Source organism: Homo sapiens, chromosome 19 (genome assembly GCF_000001405.40).
Source record: "Homo sapiens chromosome 19, GRCh38.p14 Primary Assembly".
NCBI lineage: Eukaryota > Metazoa > Chordata > Mammalia > Primates > Hominidae > Homo > Homo sapiens.
In genome coordinates, this window is record NC_000019.10 from 181,851 (window position 1) to 204,568 (window position 22,718).

Genomic DNA, 22,718 nt, shown 5'->3' on the forward strand with positions numbered 1-22,718 from the left:
ATTCTTACTAAAGAAAAACCAGAAAGTAATAAACCATCTACGCTAAGACATAAAATTCAGTTGTTTAGTTACAAGATAGAATGTGGCCTTGTAAGAAAGCAAATTAACTTCTAACATACAAAGCCTTAGAGAAGATTCAAGTGACTGACGGATCTTAAACAGAGCTATTATTACAACTCGAACTGCAGTAAAATATCCTCAGCAACATAGATGTGTGTGTTTCACTAGTCAGAGCAATACAAATTTAATGAAACTCCATTGGTGGTGTTTTTAATCAGACAATTTCTGAAGATGTCCTGGCTTATTCACAGATGCAAGCCAAATCTCTAGAAGAGTACCATAATAAGAAAAAAAAGAATACAGGCAATTGAGAGCTGTTCCAAAGTTTAGGGAGTTTTTGTAAGGAATTAATAAATAAAAATGTTCTTGAAAGAGAGAAATTAATATGCAGTTCATACTGCCAGAATTGCAGGCAATTTATCAAAGTCCCCTAATCCTCCAAAATCGCTATTTTTTTTTTGACACACACTTTACAGTACAGAAGAAAATGTCTCCGGCAATAAATCACAAAGTTAAAATTACCTAGTCTACAATTAACTACACAGTGATGGTAAATCATTTTCTACCAAAAGAAAGAAATGTCTTGTCTATTCAGGTTCTGCTCTACTTAAAAGTTTTCCTTGTTGGCGAGCAAGTGGTTAGAAAATCATATTTTATACGTACATTCAGCTTAACTATCATTCAGCTCAGGAAGATGACTCAGGGCCTTATCCATACCTTGAAGTTTGCTCTTAGCAAGTAATTGTTTCAGTATCTATATCAAAAATGGCTTAAGCCTGCAACATGTTTCTGAATGATTAACAAGGTGATAGTCAGTTCTTCATTGAATCCTGGATGTTTTATTTTTCTTAATAAGAGGAATTCATATGGATCAGCTAGAAAAAAATTAAGAGGAAAATCACATGGAAAGTTATATATTATATATCTATTATATATAATATTATATATCTATTATATATTATATATTGTATATCTATTACATATATAATATTATATATGTATTATATATATTATATATTATATATCTATTATATATATTATATATTATATATCTATTATATATAATATTATATATTATATATCTATTATAAATATTATATATTATATATCTATTATATATAATATTATATATTATATATCTATTATATATAATATTATATATTATATATCTATTATATATAATATTATATATTATATATCTATTATATATAATATTATATATTATATATCTATTATATATAATATTATATATTATATATCTATTATATATAATATTATATATTATATATCTATTATATATAATATTATATATTATATATCTATTATATATAATATTATATATTATATATCTATTATATATAATATTATATATTATATATCATTTCCAAATTCCCCAGCGTTCATATTTGTCAGTGCAAGTAAAGAGCCTTACTGCTGATGAGGTTTGAGGTATGACCATTTGGCCAGAATTTATGAACTCTACATGTCGCTTGATGTGTGCTTCAGGGTACACTTTTTTTTTTTTTTTGAGACGGAGTCTTGCTCTGTCGCCCAGGCTGGAGTGCAGCGGTGCGATCTCAGCTCACCGCAAGCTCCGTCTCCCGGGTTCACGCCATTCTCCTGCCTGAGCCTCCTGAGTAGCTGGGACTACAGGCGCCCGCCACTATGCCCTGCTAATTTTTTGTATTTTTAGTACAGACGGGGTTTCACCGTGTTAGCCAGGATGGTCTCCATCTCCTGACCTCGTGATCCACCCGCCTCGGCCTCCCAAAGTGCTGGAATTACAGGTGTGAGTCACCACGCCCAGCCAGGGTACACTTTTAAGCAGAGACACTACTTTGAAGGTCATAAAAAATATAATAAGAGATAAGGCTAATTTCCTTTAATAATAATAAAATCCTTTAATAAAAATATAAAGGAATAATATAATAATTTTCTTTAATAAAATATAATAAGAGATAAGGCTAATTTCCTTTAATAAAATATAGTAACTACATACCAACAGAATTCCAAAAAAAGAAATGGAGAGGAAGGGAGCATGGGTCATTAATCTTGTCAAAAATATAAAATTATATACGAGGAATTCCTAGAAACTGTTTTCCTTGTCTGCGGCCATTGTGCTGCTGCTACACAACTACCGCAAGCAGCCCTTCACGCCCTCCTCCCAGTACAAAGCTAATTGACTTGTGAGAAATGTTAAGCTTGGAAGAGTCAGCATCGCTGCACTTATTTTTTATTCTACTCTGACATTAGAATAATCCTTGAGTGGGGGAAAGGTTAAAAACCCCCCTGGATAAGTGTTACTAATTAATGATGATTGTTTTAAACAATGTTTGGATAATTTTTCCTTGTCCCTTGACATAAACTTGATAAATAACTGAGAAGTGAGAAGGAGATTAGTGGGTTGATTAAATTCCATTCAGGTACTTAAAGTTAGCTCCAAAAATTTAGCTATTTGTAAATTGTCATGCATTGTTAATGTATAAGAGATGTAGATTTCATTTATCTTTGGTGGAGCGAGATGAAGCAGTGAATCATTGAAGACTGAAAGAAAGAAAAAGGTCTTTTCCCTTTTCTTTAAGAAGCATCATTAGTTAAAAACATGTTAGTTGATACCAGAGAACTATATTTAAAGGGACAGCAATAAGCAAATTGATTACTCTGGTGATTATTGGAGTGACATTGCCTTTTAGTTGTACTTTCACAAAAATTCACAATATTTGCCAAAGTCAAGTTATCCATTACACTATTAATTTGTCATTCTTTTGTTTATATAGTCAATATCTCTATCTCAATTGGATCTATCTCAACTGCTTCTAAACAAGCCACCATAGTCTCTCCCATTTCAACAATCTCTTCCAAGTACCACTTCATTTCTTCTTTTCATATTTTTGAAAACTTTTGAAAAACTACCTATTTTCCTCCTCCATTTCTTGTTCATTCCATTCTAGTGGACATGGAATCTGTTCCTCCTCCAAAACGGAATTTGGTCACCCTTAAATTACTAAACCCAAAACAATATGTTGTCTTTATCTTTACCTCTCTGTGGCATTTAATGATAAGACCACTACTTTCTTCTCTTTTACCCTTCTTTCTTGAATTCAGTCAAACAACGTACTTACATTTTTTGTCTTATTCTCCATCTTAGAAACCACCTCAGCTTTCTCCATTCAGCTATAAAATTGTGCTTTTCCTCAAAGATTAATCTGCCTCTCCTCTCACTCTATACTATCTCTGTTAGCTAATTTTATTTGTGCACATTGCTTATACTGGGCATTATATACACATATGCATGTGTGTACATGTGCACACACACACTGTATGTGGACATGTATATATATATGTGTGTGTGTGTATATATAGTATATATATAAATTACAATAACATAAAGGTGGCATTTTAAATTAGTGGAAATTACCCTGATTTGATCACTACACATTCTATACATGTAAAGAAAATATCACTCTGTATCCCAAGAATATGTACAATTATGGTTTGTCAAATGAAAAAGTTCATACATTGAAAAATTTTAGATAAATATCAAACTTTCTCTGAAACTGTAACTGTAAAATGTAAAAAACAGTAAGTGCTATATTGCTTATTTCTGAGTAGAAGAATATGAGACATTTCCCTAATCATTATGTGTAATTACAATTACATATATATATGTAATTGTAATTACACATAATGATTAGGGAAATGTCTCATATTCTATATATATAGACAGAAAGAGAGAAAATATATGAGGGAGAGAAGGAATCTTTCCATCTCCTTTGAGTTCCACGGTGTTGAGAGTCAGGACAACTGCAATTGCTTCATCATGCCTGCTTGCAATTATAGGGCTTTTGAACCATTTGTTCCCTCCTTAGATATCCTCATTTTTTTCAGATTCTTGCTTAGAAGTCACTCCTCCGTGGACCTCCTCTGACATATTAAACATTGCAGTCCATTATAAGCTGCAAGAGGACAGGGATTTTTGCCTGTTTTATTCCCTACTGTATCACCAGGGGCTACAGCAATATCTGACAAACAGTGGGCATGTAATGAATATTTGTTAAGTGAAGTAATAAATTCAATCAAATCACACCACCTGTTTAAAGCACTTCATTGGCTTCACATTGCACTTAGAATAAAGAGAAATTCTTTTTATACAATATAAGTTCCTGCAGAATGCAGACACTTTCTACTTCTCCAGCCTCTTTTCGACTCCTCTCCTACTAGCTTCTGTATTTAAGCCACATTAGACCTTTCTTCAGTTTTTTATATAGACTTTGTCGCATCACACCTCAGAGATTCTGTACATGTTCTTCCTCCTGCCTAGAAAGGATCGTCCCTCCACTTTCGCCAACTAATCCCTGCTCAACTTTTCATCTCAGCAGGAGGCCCATTCTCTTTGGCAATCCTCTGGCCTCCAGCCCATTTATTATATGCTCACATGTCAACATGTACTTCGTACAGCATGTAACACAATTGCACTTTTATATTTTAACAAATTATATTTCCCATATTGAACTGTAAGTCTCCTGAAAGCAGGAATTTTGTTCTTGCTCATCATCAACTTTTTCAACATCCAGTGCACCATTTAGAACTTAGATGTAGTCAATAGAGGTTTGTGGAATGAAAGAGGAAAAGAAAGAATTAATATTCCTTTAAATTAGGATGGCAAAGATCATATATAGAAAATTGGCTAAGTTGTGGTCCATTCATGTTTGCTCCCAATTAAGGAGCACAGCTATGAAAAGGAAGGCTTCAAATTAATAACCAATAGATTTTTTTAAAAAGAAAACTGGCCAGGTACTGTGGCTTATGTCTGTAATATCAGCATGTTGGGAGGCCAAGGCAGGATTACTTGAGCCCAGAAATTCCAGACCAGCCTGAGAATTTGGCAAAACTCTGTCTCTACAAAAATTACAAAAATTAGCCAAGTTTGGTGGCATGTGCCTGTAGTACCAGCTACTTGGGAGGCTGAGGTGGAAGAATAGCTTGAGTCTGGGAGGTCAAGGCTGCAATGAGCTGTGATTGCACCACTGCACTCAAGCCTGGGTGGTAGAGTAAGACCCTGTCTCAAAAAAAAAAAAAAAAAAGAAAAATCACTAAGCAAAATAAGACATGTGAAGGATCATGTCAAAGGTAAGAAAAATTAGGGGAACATTAAAAGCTTTCTTCCCAAGCCACTAAATCAACTTGACTAACAAAATTACCACTTGATTTAGCATTAGAAAATTACATTACATATCAAACATAAACCCATTAATCAAATACTAAAGAAATTTCTGAGTTAAATGGTATAATGTTAGCTTATGCCAGAGCTGACCTTGAAAGATTGTTCAAATATGGCTCAGTGTGATTGAAAGTTCTGTGTGAATATGTTTTTGGAAAGATCCAACAGCAACACCTTAGTGTATGTTTTTGAAATAAAATGTATCTGAGTAGCAGCAAAGTTATTCTCAAATTTCCATTTTATAGCTGGAGATGTTATACCGTGACGTATATGATAGGACCCAATATGGATCAATCCCTTTTAGAAGTCAATCAGGAAGAGGGGAGCAGTTAAAACAGTTGCTTGGTTTACAAACATTAGAACAATTTTCTTATTCACACCATCTGATTATTGTATTTTATTTTTTCCCCAACGTTTAGACTACACAATGAGTTAAGAATGATAAAAATAAGCTCACCAATATACTATGTACATATTTACCAAAATCTGTGCATGCTTATACATATAAACACAGCTGATAATTTATTAGTTAGGCTCATTTGTAATTTTTGTCACTATAGACCAGTTTTTTATTTAAATTGAAGATTAGTATACATTTTAAATGATTAGTCAAAATAAAAAATCTAAAATGTGCTCTAAATACCTCTTAGGTCAGAAAAAAAAAGTCAAAAGCTAGAGTATAGAGAAATTAAGAAACGCCCTAAATTTCTAATCTGACAAAAATTCATACAAGATTTAAATATTTTAATGGAAAATAGAACAGAACTAATTATTGAAGAAATTATAGAAAGGAAACAAAATAAACAGATTATATGGAGGATTTTTAGAAGATAAGTAAATAAATTAATATACTAGGAAAAAACAAGGGAAATATACTTGATAAATAAATACAGGTAAGAGTTCTTTTGAAATAATGATAAAATAGAAAATCTCTGTCAAAACTAAAAGGAAAGATGCATAAATATATAAATAAATGATAAAAAATGTTGCATACATATATGACTTTTTCAGAATCAAAAAATTTAAATTTCTGTAATAAAATTTAAATGTTTATAAATTTAAAAAACTAGAAGAAAGAATGTTGACTGTTCACAATACAAATAAATGACAAATATTTGAGGTGATGGATATGCTAATTATCCTTATTTGATCATTGGGCATTGTATACATGTATCAAAATATCACTCTGTATCCCATGAATATGTACAATTATTTGTCTCAAAAACAAACAAAAAAAAGATAATGGGAGAATGTTGAAAACTCAGAGAGAAGAGCAACTCTCACAGATAGGGATCCAGATAACATTAGCAGCTGATTTCTCGGCAGAAACCTTGAAGGCCAGTAGGCAGTGGATTATATATTTAAAATAATGAAGAAACCTGTCAATTGAGAAATATATAGCTGGAAAACTTATCCTTCAAAAATGAAGGAGAAATTAAGACATTTCCGGATTTTTTTTTAAAACTGAAAAAAATCCATTTATCCCTGAATTTGACATTCAGGAAGTGTTAAGTCCTTCAGGTTGAAATAAATGAACTCTAGGCAATAACTATGTAAGTAAATAAGCAAGCTGTATGAATATACAAAGCTCTCTGGTAAAGGTAAATACATAAACAAACATAAAAACAGTCCTATTGTAATTTTGGTTTGTAACTCTGCTTTTTATTTTCTACATAATTTAAAAGGCAAATGCATAAAATGTAATTGTAAATCTGTTAGCTGGTATACAATGAATAAAGATATAATTTGTCACATCAATAACATAAAAAGAGTAGAGCTATATATATAGCAGTAGAATTTTGGTATGTGATTGAACTTAAGTTGAAATAAATTCAAATTAAAATGTTATAACTCTAGGATGTTATATGTAATTCTCATAGTAACCAAAAATGAAATATATATAGAATATAAACAAAAGGAAATGAGACTAGAAACAAAATGTGTCACTACAAAAAAATCAACTAAAGATAAAAAAGAAATAATTGAGAAAATGATTGGCAAAAATCAGTAACTCTGACGTATTAAAACTTTCCATGCTACATAAATCTGAAAACTCTATTTCACATAAAACTGGAGCTGAAAGAAACAAATATTTACCTATAAAGTTAAAAGTTATATAGGGAACAAACACTAATTTTTTTTTAGAAAAAATTATAAAAAGAGTAAAAATATGCCTTATACTACCGTAATTTCATGTTTTACAGCTCTGGGAAAATAGAAAATAAAATGTTCTGTTAGCATGAATCCCTCTGTGCCCCCAAAAAACCCTATGGATTGCATCATTATTACCTAAAAAGTCTATTCTCAAATGCAGCAGAGTGATATTTTTTACAAGGTAGATATTAATTTTAGATATGGAATAATATTGGTGATTTCAATTTTATAACACTGGGTTAAGATGAAAGAATGAGAAGATAAAGGTCCCTCAGCAATATAACTCACAAACATGTTCAGAAGCAGTAAGAAGTTACATTAATTATCTTTTGAAAGTCGATAATCTACATCTTTAATGTATGCATATAGCATAGCTAATGTACTATCGCTGGGTCCATTTATTCAATGAATAATTGCCGCTATGTGTCAGACATTTTTCTAGGCCTAGGAATGGATACATAAGTGAACAAAGCAAAGATTCTGGTTCTTGTAGAGTTTCCATTAAAAGACAATTTAGTAAAACTTTTCTTCCCCCAAATTATAAAATCTGTAAGATGGTTTAACAACATGTGTAAAAGTCATTGTGGGCCAGGCACGGTGGCTCATACCAGGTGTGGTGACTCATAGCACTCTGTCACCCAGGCTGGAGTGCAGTGGCACAATCTCTGCTCACTGCAACCTCTGCCTCCTGGGTACAAGCGATTCTCCTGCCTCAGCTTTCTGAGTAGCAAGGACTACAGGTGCACACCATCACGCCTGGCTAATTTTTGTACTATTAGTACAGACGGAGTTTCACCATGTTGGCCAGGCTGGTCTCGAACTCCTGACCTCAAATGATCCATCTACCTCGGCCTCCCAAAGTGCTGGAATTACAGATGTGAGCCACAATGCCCGGCCTTATTTTCTACAACTTTGGTAACTTTAGCATATACCCCAAATCTGTAAGACATAATATTATAATTCAAATGCAACTCATGGCTTCTCATTGTACTCTTTCTCTAGCTTTTGAATTATTTATTCTAATACCAGTTTTAATTCTGACACAAAAGCATGGGAGTTCTAATCAAAATCCAACCTTTTATCATAAAAACTATGAAGAAATTATGAGTAGAATTTAAAAAGGAAAATAGGCCTATTAATTAGATTTGTCTTTGTAGCATTTAACTCTATAATAAATAATATTTTATGCCTATGAGTCCCCAACAAAGCCTCCAGCTTCTATTTAGATATAAACTGTAAAAGTCACTACTGGATCCACAAGCAAGACTATGGTAAATAAATTTCTCCACCTAACCAGCTTCTTTTACATGATGTTACATGTTTCTTTTGTTTTTTCATTTTGGCAAATATTGATTGTCATCTTCGTGTTTGTCTATGTCCTAAGTGCTGGGATACAGAATCTGAAAAGATGGACACAGGACCTGCCTTCAAGTTCACCCCCTTTTTTTTTTTTTTTTGAGATGCAGTTTTGCTCTTGTCACCCAGGCTGGAGTGTAATGGTGAGATCTCTGCTCACTGCAACCTCCACCTCCAGGGTTCAAGTGATTCTCCTGCCTCAGCCTCCCAAGTAGCTGGGATTACAGGTCCCAGCCACCACGCCTAGCTAATTTTTGTATTTTTAGTAGAGACAGCGTTTCATCATGTTGGTCAGGCTGGTCTCGAACTCCTAACCTCAGGTAGTCGACCCACCTCGGCCTCCCACAGTGCTGAGATTACAGGCATGAGCCACCACGCCCTGCTAGGAGTTCACGCTTTAGTTGGGGAAAATATACAATAAGCAAGCCAGTTTTTAAAATGAGAACTGCAATTAGAGTTAAATGCTACAAAGACAAACTCACAGGAAGATGGGATGTAGAATGATAAGGCTCTCAGAATAGTAAGAGAAACTATTGCTTCTTACGATGTTTGTCTTTCTTTGTATCGGTGCTCAGCTGAGTCTGCAGTGCTTCAGAGGCAGCTTTCATTTTATAAAAATCTATGATTTCTCCTTCCAGTTGTTTTTTCTCTTCCTCGAGCTTCCTTATCTCCTCCTGTTGAATCATTTTAAGATGCTCGAACTTGTCCTGCAGCTGTGAAACCAATGTGCAGTTGTGACACCAAAGCAGTGTGGCTGAACACCTAAAAGAATACGCTTTTTTTCTGATTATCAAACAAACCCAAATCATCACAGTAGAGCACGATCTTAATAACAATCTCAAAAACTCAGGAGTAAACACTCAGATATGGAATTTTTCTTTTCTTTCTTTTTTCCTTTTATAAGATGGAGTCTCACTCTGTTGCCCAGGCTGGAGTGCACTGGTGCGATCTCAGCTCACTGCAACCTCCATCTCCCAGTTCAAGTGATTCTCCTGCCTCAGCCTCTTGAGTAGCTGGGACTATAGGCATGCATCACCACTACAGGCGTGTGCCACCACACCTGGCTAATTTTTGTATTTTTAGTAGAGATGGGGTTTTGCCATGATGGCCAGGCTGGTCTCGAACTCCTGACCTCAGGTGATCCTCCCGCTTTGGCCTCCCAAAGACTTTTTTTTTTTTTTAATATAGAGACAAGTTCTCAGTACGTTGCCCAGGATGGTCTCAAACTCCTGAGCTCAAGTGATCCTCCCACCTCAGCTTCCCAAAGTGCTGGGACTGACTGGATGCAGTGGCTCATGCTTGTAAACTCAGCACTTTGGGAGGCCAAGGTGGGAGGATCGCTTGAGCCCAGGAGTTCAAGACCAGACTGGGTGATATAACACAATAGTCAACTTCAACAGGAGAGAGAATCTGTAAACTTGAATATAGATCTTCCGAAATTATCCAGTCAGAGGACAGAGAAAAAAAGAATAAAAGAGAGAAAAGAAGGCTGGGTGTGGTGGCTCAAGCCTGTAATCCCAACACTTTGGGAGGCCGAGGCAGGCAGATTAAGAGGTCAGGAGTTCAAGACCAGCCTGTCCAACATGACAAAGCCCCATCTCTACTAAAAATACAAAAATTAGCCGGGTGTGGTGGCACACACCTGTAGTCCCAGCTACTTGGGAGGCTGAGGCAGGAGAATCACTTGAACCCAGGAGGCGGAGGTTGGAGTGCAATGTGAGCCGAGACCACACATTACACTCCAGCCTGGGTGACAGAGCATGACTCTGTCTCAAAAAGAAAAAAAAAAGAGACAGAGAAAAGAAAGCCAACAAGACACCATTAAGCAAACCATTGTCAGGTTATGGGAGTTTGAGAAGGAAAGTAGAGAAAGGAGAATAAAGCTTATTTAAAGAATGGCTGACAACTGCCTAAATCATGGGAAAGATTTAGACATCTAAATCCATGAAGCTTAAAGATTCCTAAAGAGGTTCAAACCAAATAGATACTCACCAAGTCACAATATAATCAAATAGTCAAAAGTTAAAGAAACTTTGCAGGTCAGGACAGAATCGAATAATACATTCAAAGTGCTGAAAGAAAAAAACTGCCAGCAACTAATACTATGTCTGACAAAGCTGTCCTTCAGAAAGGAAAAAGAAATAATGTGTTTCCTCGACAAACAAAGCTGAGGGCATTCAGGACCACTAGGTCTACCTTAAAAAAATGCTTAACGGAGTTTTTCAAGTAAAAATGAATGAAGTTGGGAGCGGTGGCTCATGCCTGTAATCCCATTTTGGGAGGCTGAGGTGGGTGGATCACCTGAGGTCGGGAGGTCAAGACCAGCCTGGCCAACATGGCAAAACCCCACCTCCAGTAAAAATACAAAAAATTAGCCAGGTATGAAGGCCACTGAGATCGTGCCACTGCACTCCAGCCTGGGTGACAAGAGTCAAACTACATTTCAAAAACAAAAAACAAAACAAACAAAAAAAACAAAACTTGAGGCCTGGCCTTCTGCTCCTCTCCAACCTCCCCTTCTCTGGGCCCAAGCCACCTTGGCTGAGGAGGGGGCGAGGAGGTGTGAGCCCCTGCCAGGAACCCCCTGCCCGGACCAAGTGCTCGGCCCCCAGGCCTGCGTTCAGTGAGGCCTCCCGTGGCGTCAGCATGTTCGTGTGGAGGAATGTGGAAGGTCACTCTGCGGCCGTGTTCTCCTGGTACTCCATCCCCTTCCTGACCCCTCCCTGCAGCCACACGAGGCCCAGCAACCTGCCAGTCACTCAGTGGCCTCCAACCAGAGAAAACAACCTGCCAAGTTGGCAGCCGTTGCTCATGAGCGTCCACCAGGTGGGACAGGGAGTGTTGACCCTGGGCAGCCCCCTGGAGCCACCTGCCCTGAAAGCCCAGGGCCCGCAACCCCACACACTTTGGGGGTGGTGGAACCTGGTAAAAGCTCACCTCCCACCATGGAGGAGGAGCCCTGGGCCCCTCAGGGGAGTCCCTGCTGGACAGTGAGACAGAGAATGACCATGATGATGCTTTCCTCTCCATCATGTCTCCTGACACCCAGTTGCCTCTACCACTCAGATGATGTCAGGCCCAGTCCCTCAGTGCCCTGCGCAAGGAACAGGACTCATCTTCTGAGAAGGATGGACGCAGCCCCAACAAATCAGACAAGGACCACATCCGGTGGCCCATGAGTGGCGCTCATGATCTTCAGCAGGCGGCACCAGGCCCTGGCGGGGCGCACCAGGGTCATCCCAACCAGGATAACCGGACCGTCAGCCAGATGCTGAGCGAGCGGTGGTACACCCTGGGGCCCAATGAGATGCAGAAATACAACCTGGCCTTCCAGGTGAAGGTGGCCCACTTGCAACAAGGACCGAAAGAAGTCCAGCTCAGAGGCCAAGCCCACAAGCCAGGGGCTAGCAGGAGTGTAACAAGGGCTCGTGGGAGCGGAGCATATCAGAGACGGGCACTGCCACTGCCCCTGGGGTGTCCTCTGAACTCCTGTCAGTTGCAGCCCAAACACTCCAGAGCTCGGATACCAAGGAGCAGCTTCTGTGGGGCAGAACGGCTGCACACAGTCAGGGAACCTGGCTCAGCCTGGCCCAAGCCTTCTCCCACAGCGGGGTACACAGCCTGGACGGCAGGGAAATAGACCGTCAGGCACTACGGGAACTGACACAGGTGGTGTCTGGCACTGCATCATACTCTGGCCCAAAGCCTTCTACTCAGCATGGAGCTCCAGGCCACTTTGCAGCCCCTGGTGAGGGAGGTGACCCGTGGGCAGCCCTGCTGCCGCCCACGTGAGCTGCTCATTCCCAGCACATGGCCAGCGAGGTCATAGCGAGTGACGAAGAGCACACGGTCATCCATGAGGAGGAGGGGGTGATGATGTCATTGCTGATGATGGCTTTAGCACCACCGACACCGATCTCAAGTTCAAGGAGTGGGTGACCGACTGAGAGTGGGGACAACTCTGGGGAGGAGCCAGAGGGCAACAAGGGCTTTGGTGGGAAGGTATTTGCACCTGTCATTCCTTCCTCCTTTACTCCTGCCGCCCCTTGCTGGATCCTGAGCCCCCAGGGTCCCCCGATCCACCTGCAGCTTTTGGCAGTCTATGGTCACACCCTGTCCTCCTCCTACACATACTCGGATGCTTCCTCCTCAACCTTGGCACCCACCTCCTTCTTACTGGGCCCAGGAGCCTTCAAAGCCCAGGAGTCTGGTCAACGCAGCAGAGCGGGCCCCCTACGGCCCCAACCCCTGGGGATGGGGGCCCAGGGACGCCTTCCAAGGTGGCCTGTTTCCTCCCAATGGATCCTGCCACCTTCTGGTGCAAGAGACCTGAAAGTGTGGGCGACCTGGAGCTACCAGGCTCCTCAGTCATCAGGGTCCCTCCCAATACTAAGGCTTTCCTAGGCAGGAGCTGGGCTGAGCCACCCGGGGGGCAGAGCCTGAAGAGAAACTGACTGGGCTTTCGGGGTCGGGGCAGAGGGAACCCCACGGACATGGATCCCACACTGGAGGACCCCACCGCGCCCAAATGCAAGATGAGAAGATGCTCCAGCTGCAGTCCAAAGCCCAACACCCCCAAGTGTGCCACGTGTGATGGGGACAGCTTCCCCTTTGCCTGTACAGGTGGAGAAGCCGAGGACAGGCTCAGGGAACCGGAGACCGAGAAGGCGCTGTCCTCTTCACTGCACGTACCCTGGACCAGTGCCGGCCCTGATCATGCAGCTCTTCCAGGCCCACTGCTTCTTCCTGTCCACTAGGCCACAGCCGCCCTCCAGGCCCACTATGCACACATCTTCCCCTCCAAGGTTTGTTCTGCCCCTGCCCTGACTCCCAGCCCTGTGGGGGTCCTGACCGCACCTCACCTGGCTCAGACTCTTGACGCTGCCCTGGCTGCCCCACCACTGCTTCTGCCCGAGAGTCACGTGAGGCTGAGAGTAGGGGCAGGGGCAGCAGTGGTGCCAGTTGGGGGGCGGTCCAGTGGGAGGAGCCTCAGCCTCGCAGGCTGCTCCGTGGGACTGATGACTGCATGATCTTCTGGGCACCTCACGGATCTTCAACTGCAGGTGAAACGGATGCTGGTGGTGGGTGCAGGGCCGCTGGGAGCTGCTGCATGGTTCCCAGAGGCTGGACTGAGGCAGGTGCCAACTGAAGCTGCTGGGGCAGCATGGGCAGGATGTTCTGCACACAAACCTTGGAGAAGAAGATGTGTGCATAGCAGGTCCACTGCTGCTGCCCCTGCCCTGACTCCCAGCCCTGCCTGACCCCACCTCAACCTGCTCAGGCTCTGGCACAACCCTGGCTGCCCTGCCACTGCCTCTGCCCCAGAGTTGGGGCCTTGACAGCCTGGTTGGAAGGGGACACCCCAGCCCTGCCTCAACACCTGGGGGTCTCCATAACTAGCACAGGCAGGTGGGCAACCCCAAAGATCCCAGGACTCACAGTACCCCCTGAGAACATGGACAGTATGTGGGGGTAGCAATGGAGGGCAGGATGGTTATCTTCTCCCAGGTGAAGCCATTTAATCCTTTCAGTTTGGGACGGAGTAAGGCCTTCCTCTTTTTTTTTTTTTTTTTTTTTTTTTTTTTGAGACCGAGTCTTGCTCTGTCGCCCAGGCTGGAGTGCAGTGGTGCGATCTTGGCTCACTGCAACCTCTTCCCGCCGGGTTCACGCCATTCTCCTGCCTCAGCCTTCCGGGTAGCTAGGATTACAGGTAGACGCTACCACGTCCGGCTAATTTTTGTATTTTTAGTACAGACGGGGCTTCATCATCTTGGCCAGGCTGATTTCGATCTCCTGACATTGTGATCTGCCTGCCTCCCCCTCCCAAAGTGCTGGGATTACAGGCGTGAGCCACCACGCCTGGCCAAGGCCTGCTCCTCTTATCTATACCCCCTACCCCTGCAGCTGTGCCGGGGGAAAGCTGGGCAGTTTCCCTCCTCCGAGCCCCTGTACATACCATGAATTGTGGGACCTTCAGAGCTTTTCACTTTTCGGAAAATAGCTCCTGCTGGGGCTACAAGATGGAGTGTGAAGAGGGCCTTGGGCCACAGGGAGGCGCCTGTGGACTAGGGGGAGTTCATGCACCCCTTCTTTCCCCAGAGGGGCTGGACTCAGGTGAGTATGGGGGTGGGGGCTCCTGCACTTCGACACAGGCAGTGGGAGGGTTTTCTCCCCATTCCCTCTGCACTCCCAACTTGAGCTATACTTTTTAAGAAAGTGATTCACCCTGCCTTTGCCCCCTTCCCCAGAACAGAACACGTTGATCGTGGGCGACATTTTTCATTGTGCCAAAAAGTTGCCATGACCGTCATTAAACCTGTTTAACACCAAATAATAAGGAAAATAAAATAAAAAACTCGGGCTTGACGCAGAAACTCACTCCAAATAAATTACCTACCAAAACATTTACATAATGGTGGAAATATTCCAAAATTCAATATTTTGGGATTTATACACAAAAGATAAACAAATTAGAGGCCAAGAGGCTGCCGGAAGGGAAAAACGGGGCCTGGAATGGCCGACGTGAGGAATGAGCTGGGCCTAAAGAGGCCACTGGCAGGCAGGAGCTGGACCTGCCGAAGTGGCCGAAAGGCAGGAGCTTTGGACTGGGGAGGCCGCAGTGAGGCGAGAGCTAGCTGGGCGTGGAGAGTCCGCTGTGAGGCCGAGGCCGAGGCCGGGCCCGTGCAGGCCTTCGAGAGGCAGGAGGCCGGGCCTGCAAAGGCCGACTGGAGATCAAGTTCTGCGCCTGAAGAGGCTGCCAAAAGTCAAAAGCAGGGCCTGCGAAGGCCGCCGAGAGCCATGAGCTGGGCTGGGCTGAAAGAGGCCACTGGGAGGCAGGAGGAGCTGGGCCTGGAGAGGCTGACTCGAGGAAGTTTTGCACCTGGAGAGGCCGTCGAGAGGACGGAGCTGGGCCCAGGGAGGCCGACTTGCTGCTCTTCCAGGCCCACTTCCAGGCCGACTTGAGGACGACTTGGGCCTGCAGAGGCCGCCGGGAGGCTGGAGCTAAGCCTGGAGAGACTGACTTCGGGACGATTTGGGCCTGCGGAGGCCGCCGGGAGGCCCAAGCTGGGCCTAGAGGAGCCCACCGACCGGAGGCCATTTGGGGCCTGCAGATGTCATCGGAGGGCCAGGAGCTGAGCCTGGAGAGGCCACCGCGAGGCCTGAGCTGGGCCTGGGGAGCTTGGCTTAGGGAAGTTGTGGGCCTACCAGGGCCGCTGGGAGCTGGGCAGGAGCTGAGTCCAAAGACGTTGTTGGGACCTGGAGTCGGGCCAGAGTCCGGCCTGGAGATGCAGCCGGGAGGAAGAGCTGGGCCCGGAGGGGGCGCCGGGAGGCTGCAAGTGGGTCTGAGAGGCCAACTTGAGGAGGCCTGGCCTCTGCCTCCCGCATTGCCCAGCTGTTCCTCCTGGCTGCATCTCCCACCTCCCAGCAAACAAGCTCTTTTGGCTCAGCTCCCGCCTGCGTTTGTAGACCCCGAAGTTTCTGCAACCAAGCTCTTCAGACCCACATCCCTTCTCCCAGTGACTGAACAGTCCCAGCTCCGGCTGGAGAAGGGCGTCTGCAGACCCCGCTGTTGCCTCCCAGGGGAGTCTCCAGGCCCAGCTCTCGCCCCACCGCGACCTCCCAGGCCCAAGTCCCTGCCTACCTCCCAGCAGCCCGAGTGCGATCCTGTTCCTCCCTCACGGTGGCCTGTTGAGGCAGGGGGTCACGCTGACCTCTGTCCGCGTGGGAGGGGCCGGTGTGAGGCAAGGGCTCACACTGACCTCTCTCAGCGTGGGAGGGGCCGGTGTGAGGCAAGGGGCTCACGCTGACCTCTGTCCGCGTGGGAGGGGCCGGTGTGAGGCAAGGGCTCACACTGACCTCTCTCAGCGTGGGAGGGGCCGGGGTGAGGCAAGGGGCTCACGCTGACCTCTGTCCGCGTGGGAGGGGCCGGTGTGAGGCAAGGGCTCACACTGACCTCTCTCAGCGTGGGAGGGGCCGGGGTGAGGCAAGGGGCTCACGCTGACCTCTGTCCGCGTGGGAGGGGCCGGTGTGAGGCAAGGGCTCACACTGACCTCTCTCAGCGTGGGAGGGGCCGGTGTGAGGCAAGGGGCTCACGCTGACCTCTGTCCGCGTGGGAGGGGCCGGTGTGAGGCAAGGGCTCACACTGACCTCTCTCAGCGTGGGAGGGGCCGGGGTGAGGCAAGGGGCTCACGCTGACCTCTGTCCGCGTGGGAGGGGCCGGTGTGAGGCAAGGGCTCACACTGACCTCTCTCAGCGTGGGAGGGGCCGGGGTGAGGCAAGGGGCTCACGCTGACCTCTGTCCGCGTGGGAGGGGCCGGTGTGAGGCAAGGGCTCACACTGACCTCTCTCAGCGTGGGAGGGGCCGGTGTGAGGCAAGGGGCTCACGCTGACCTCTGTCCGCGTGGGAGGGGCCGGTGTGAGGCAAGGGCTCACACTGACCTCTCTCAGCGTGGGAGGGGCCGGTGTGAGGCAAGGGGCTCACGCTGACCTCTGTCCGCGTGGGAGGGGCCGGTGTGAGACAAGGGGCTCACACCTCTCTCAGCGTGGGAGGGGCCGGTGTGAGGCAAGGGGCTCGGGCTGACCTCTCTCAGCGTGGGAGGGGCCGGTGTGAGACAAGGGGCTCACGCTGACCTCTCTCAGCGTGGGAGGGGCCGGTGTGAGGCAAGGGCTCACACTGACCTCTCTCAGCGTGGGAGGGGCCGGGGTGAGGCAAGGGGCTCACGCTGACCTCTGTCCGCGTGGGAGGGGCCGGTGTGAGGCAAGGGCTCACACTGACCTCTCTCAGCGTGGGAGGGGCCGGGGTGAGGCAAGGGGCTCACGCTGACCTCTGTCCGCGTGGGAGGGGCCGGTGTGAGGCAAGGGCTCACACTGACCTCTCTCAGCGTGGGAGGGGCCGGTGTGAGGCAAGGGGCTCACGCTGACCTCTGTCCGCGTGGGAGGGGCCGGTGTGAGGCAAGGGCTCACACTGACCTCTCTCAGCGTGGGAGGGGCCGGGGTGAGGCAAGGGGCTCACGCTGACCTCTCTCAGCATGGGAGGGGCCGGTGTGAGACAAGGGGCTCACACTGACCTCTCTCAGCATGGGAGGGGCCGGTGTGAGACAAGGGGCTCGGGCTGACCTCTGTCCGCGTGGGAGGGGCCGGTGTGAGGCAAGGGGCTCACGCTGACCTCTGTCCGCGTGGGAGGGGCCGGTGTGAGGCAAGGGCTCACACTGACCTCTCTCAGCGTGGGAGGGGCCGGTGTGAGACAAGGGGCTCACGCTGACCTCTGTCCACGTGGGAGGGGCCGGGGTGAGGCAAGGGCTCACACTGACCTCTCTCAGCGTGGGAGGGGCCGGTGTGAGGCAAGGGGCTCACGCTGACCTCTGTCCGCGTGGGAGGGGCCGGTGTGAGGCAAGGGCTCACACTGACCTCTCTCAGCGTGGGAGGGGCTGGTGTGAGACAAGGGGCTCACGCTGACCTCTGTCCACGTGGGAGGGGCCGGGGTGAGGCAAGGGCTCACACTGACCTCTCTCAGCGTGGGAGGGGCCGGTGTGAGGCAAGGGGCTCACGCTGACCTCTGTCCGCGTGGGAGGGGCCGGTGTGAGGCAAGGGCTCACACTGACCTCTCTCAGCGTGGGAGGGGCCGGTGTGAGGCAAGGGGCTCACGCTGACCTCTGTCCACGTGGGAGGGGCCGGTGTGAGACAAGGGGCTCACTCTGACCTCTCTCAGCGTGGGAGGGGCCGGTGTGAGGCAAGGGGCTCACACTGACCTCTCTCAGCGTGGGAGGAGCCAGTGTGAGGCAGGGGCTCACGCCTCTGGGCAGGGTGCCAGAGGCATGAGTTGGGCATCAACAGGCCACCGTGAGGGAGGAGCTGGGCCGCACGCGGGCTGCTGGGAGGCAGGCAGGGACTTGGCCCCGGGAGGCCGCCGTGGGGGCAAGAGCTGGGCCTGGAGAGGCCCCTGGGAGGCAAGGGCGGGGCCTGCAGAGGCTGTTCTCCAACCAGTGCTAGAACTGTACAGGCCACCAGGAGGCAGGAGGTGGGCCCTCAGAGCTTGGCTGGAGAAAGTTCGGGGCCTACAAAGGCGGTTGGGAGCTGGGCAGGAGTTGAGCCAAAAGAGCTTGCTTACTTGCTGGGAGGCAGGGCCGGGAGAGCCCGACTTCAGGACAACTTGGGCCTGCGGCAGTCGCCGGGAGGCCCAACCTTGGCGTGGAGGAGCCCACCGACCGGAGACCATTTGGGGCCTGGAGATGCCATCGGAGGGCAGGAGCTCATCCTGGAGAGGCCACCGTGAGGCCTGACCTGGGCCTGGGGAGCTTGGCTTGAGGAAGCTGTGGGCCGACCAAGGCCGCCAGGAGATGGGTAGGCACTGAGTCCAAAGAGGTTGTTGAGAGGCAGGAATCGGGCCTGGAGACCCAACCAGGAAGAAGAGCTGGGCCCGGAGAGAACGCCCGGAGGGTGCAAGTGGGTCTGGAGAGGCTGACTTGAGGAGGTTCTGGGCCCGGAGAGGCCGCCGGAAGGGAAAAACTGGGCCTGGAAAGGCCGTTGTCAGGAATGAGCCCCATGGGCCTGAAGAGGCCACTGGCAGGCGGGAGCTGGGTGTGTAGAAGCTGCTGAAAGGTTGGGAGCTTGGCTTGGGGGGTCCACAGTGAGGTAGATGCTGGGCGTGAAGAATCTGCTGTGAGGCAGACGTTGGGACTGTAGAGGCTGACGGGAGGCAGAGGCTGGGCCTGGAGGGGCCACCAAGATGCAGGAGCTGGGCCTGGAGAGGCTGCAAAGAAGCATGAGCTGGGCCTGGTGAGGTCGACTTGAGAAAGTTCAGGGCCTGGAGAGAAGGCTGGGAGGCAGGAGCTGGGTCTAAAGAGGCCATTGTAACGATGGAGCTGTGCCTGTGGAGGCTGTTGTGAGGCAGTAGCCTCATCTGCGGAGGCTGCCGTGACGTAGGGTATGGGCCTAAATAGGCCATTGTGAGTCATGAGCTTGGTCTGTAGAGGCTGACTGGAGAAAGTTCTGGGCCTGGAGAGGCTGCCGGGAGGTAGGAGCTGGGCCAAAAGATGTAAGCACATTTGCATTTATTAGGCACTTTATTTCCATTATTACACTGTAATATATAATAAAATAATTATAGAACTCACCATAATGTAGAATTAGTGGGCGTGTCAAGCTTGTTTTCCTGCAACTGGATGGTCCCACCTGAGCGTGATGGGAGAAAGTGACAGATCAATAGGTATTAGACTCTCATAAGGACAGCGCAACCTCGATCCCTCACATGCACGGTTCACAACAGGGTGCGTTCTCCTATGAGCATCTAATGCTGCTGCTCATCTGAGAAGGTGGAGCTCAGGCGGGAATGTGAGCAAAGGGGAGTGGCTGTAAATACAGACAAAGCTTCCCTCACTCCCTCACTCGACACCGCTCACCTCCTGCTGTGTGGCTCCTTGCGGCTCCATGGCTCAGGGGTTGGGGACCCCTGCTCAAGTGCATCCAAAGCGACCCTTCCCACACCAGTCTTCACAGTGGTCAAGGGCAGCAACCACTTAGCTCCCAAGGCATGTGCCTCAGCTGGCATTTCGTCACAATCAACAGTAAGTGGTAGCTTGAGTCACTGTGAGGTCACCTACTGGAAATCACCAGCATCCCATTTCCCACTGGCAAAGAGCTCAGCACTGCCCCCTGGGAAACCAAACCTATGCCCAAATCCCATCTGTGTGGGTTTACCTCCTGGGACCCTTCCTAACATATTAGTCAGAGTCCAATCAGGAAGCATAAACCACTCAAAAGTTTAAAGTGGTAAAATTTAATACAGAGAATTATTCATTATAACAGGTGAACAGCATAATGAGAGATTGGCTAGCACAGAGTAAAGATAACTCTAGAGAATATGGGACTAGCCCAGGCCAGGCATGGTGGCTCATGCCTGAAATTCCAGCCATTACAGAAGCTAATGCAGGAGGATTGCTTAAGGCCAGGAGCTAGAGACCGCTCTGGACGACACAGTGAGACCCTGTCTCTATCCAAAAGAAGAAAAAAGTTAGCTGGGGGTGGTGGTGCACACTTGTAGTCCCAGCTACTCGGAATGCTGAAGTTTGAGCCTGGGAGGTCAAGGCTGCAGTGAGGCATGATTATGCCACTACAGTCCAGCCGGATGACAGAGCAAGACCCTGTCTCAAAGAACAAAACCACAACAACCATTTACAGACAGAAAAGAAATAGAGCTAATAAGCTGAGGAAAGATGTTGAAATGTGACAAGTAAAGTAATATGAGGTCTTTTGTCTATTTAAAATAATCAAACAAAAAATGGCTTACTAAATTATAATACCCTGTGCTGGCAAAGGTGCAGTGAAATGGGCACTTTCTTATACTATGAGGGGTGGTTAAATTGTGTATAAGCCTTCCAGGGTAAAGCCTGTCAATTTTTTAAAATAATGGAGACAGGGTCTCACCATACTGCCATACTGCCTCCTCCAACTCTTGGCCTCAAGCAATCCTCCTCTCTTAGCCTCCCAAAGTGCTAAGATTATAGCTGGGAGGCACCCAAAACCCTGTCAATTTACATCAAGGGTAAGGAGAATGTCCATTCACCATGACTCACAGTAATCTTACTTCTGGGGAGACAATTCAATCTAAGCAAAAGGTCATCTGTACACACACAGTAAAAATCTGGGAGTAACTGAAGACAGAGTTGGTAAGTGAAATAAGAAACAGTTATAAGAAATTAAACTATGGTATCAATAGGCACCTGGTAAAAGGTCAGTTGATGTTAGCTGCTACTTTTTTGTTGTTTTGAGACAGGGTCTCACTCTGTCACCCAGGCTGGAGTGCAGAGGCCTGATCATGACTCACTGCGGTCTCAGCCTCCCTGGGCTCAAGTGATCCTCCCACCTCAGCCTCCCAAGTAGCTGGGACTACAGGAACATGCCACCACACTAGGCTAATTCATGTATTTTTCTGTAGGGATGGTGACTCCCCCTTTGTTTCCAAGGCCTATCGCAAACTCTTGGCCTCAAGCCATCCTCCTGCCTCAGCCTCCCAAAGTGTTGCGATTACCAGTGTGAGCCACCACACCTGGCCAGCTGCTACTTTTATCAATATTATTCTTATTCCACTCAATTAAAAATTATTATTTTCAAGGCTATGCAACAGTATGTATCCTACAGCGTAATTGTAAAAACATACACAGTCGTCATCCCTCAGTATACAGAATTAGTTCCAGCCCCCCATCTCTGCATATACCAAAATCCATGCTTACTCACGTTTCGCTGTCACCCCTCTAGAATCCACGTATACGAAAATTCCAAATGTTAGTTGGGCATAGTGGCAAGCACCTGTAGTCTCAGCCACGTGGGAGGTTGAGGTGGGAGGATCGCTTCAGCCTGGAAGGTTGAGGCTGCAGTCAGCTGCGATAGCACTACTACACTCCAGCCTTGGACAACAGAGGGAGACCCTGTCTCAGAAAAAAATAAATAAATAAATAAAGCAGGTTAGAAACTGTGATGAGGTCTGCTGGGCAAAATTCCATATAAGCAAAGTATAAATTAATAAAGCAAATCGTGATAAATTAGTACGATTGACTTTCTGGAGTTTCTGACAATAAAAGTAAGGAAAATGCAGAACACAAAGACAGAGAGTAAAAAGAGAAATTAGGAAAGCATTCTACATGTTGAATAGGAAGACACTGGCCATGTTCGTGCAGCGGCAGTATGTCGTGACATGACATACCTTGGAGAGAAGTTAACAGATGAGGAAGTTGATAAAAATCATCAGAGAAGCAAAATACTGGTAGCGACACTCAAGTAAACCATGAAATTTCCATAACTTATGTCAGCAAAGTGGGAATATTGTACAGTGTGTGTTGAAGTTCCTATACAACATTGTTTATCTGCCTTTTGTTTGTTTGTAAGGAATGTATATACTAAAAGTTCTTCTTGCTGTCAAAAGAATATGCGT

The 22,718-nt window shown here is 46.5% G+C and overlaps 2 long non-coding RNA genes and 2 pseudogenes across 4 annotated transcripts in view; 1 reads left to right on the forward strand and 3 right to left on the reverse strand.

Moving 5' to 3' along the window:
* Positions 6,922-9,506, reverse strand: SEPTIN14P19 (septin 14 pseudogene 19; annotated as a pseudogene).
* On the forward strand, positions 11,348-15,118 carry CICP19 (capicua transcriptional repressor pseudogene 19; annotated as a pseudogene).
* On the reverse strand, positions 15,166-20,359 carry LINC01002 (long intergenic non-protein coding RNA 1002). The gene is made up of 3 exons (NR_028324.1): positions 20,191-20,359; positions 19,906-19,963; positions 15,166-19,812 (listed from the first exon to the last, which is right to left on the reverse strand). It is a non-coding gene; the product is annotated as a long intergenic non-protein coding RNA 1002 (long non-coding RNA).
* Positions 20,360-22,163: 1,804 nt separating this feature from the next.
* Positions 22,164-22,718, reverse strand: part of LOC101928344 (uncharacterized) — a 42,519-nt gene continuing 41,964 nt past the window's right edge. The window contains exon 13 of one of the 3 annotated variants that reach the window (XR_002958438.2): positions 22,164-22,215. This is a non-coding gene — a long non-coding RNA (uncharacterized LOC101928344). The remainder of the gene's footprint in view (positions 22,216-22,718) is intronic. The other 2 variants (XR_007067060.1, XR_007067059.1) reach the window with 2 other exon arrangements.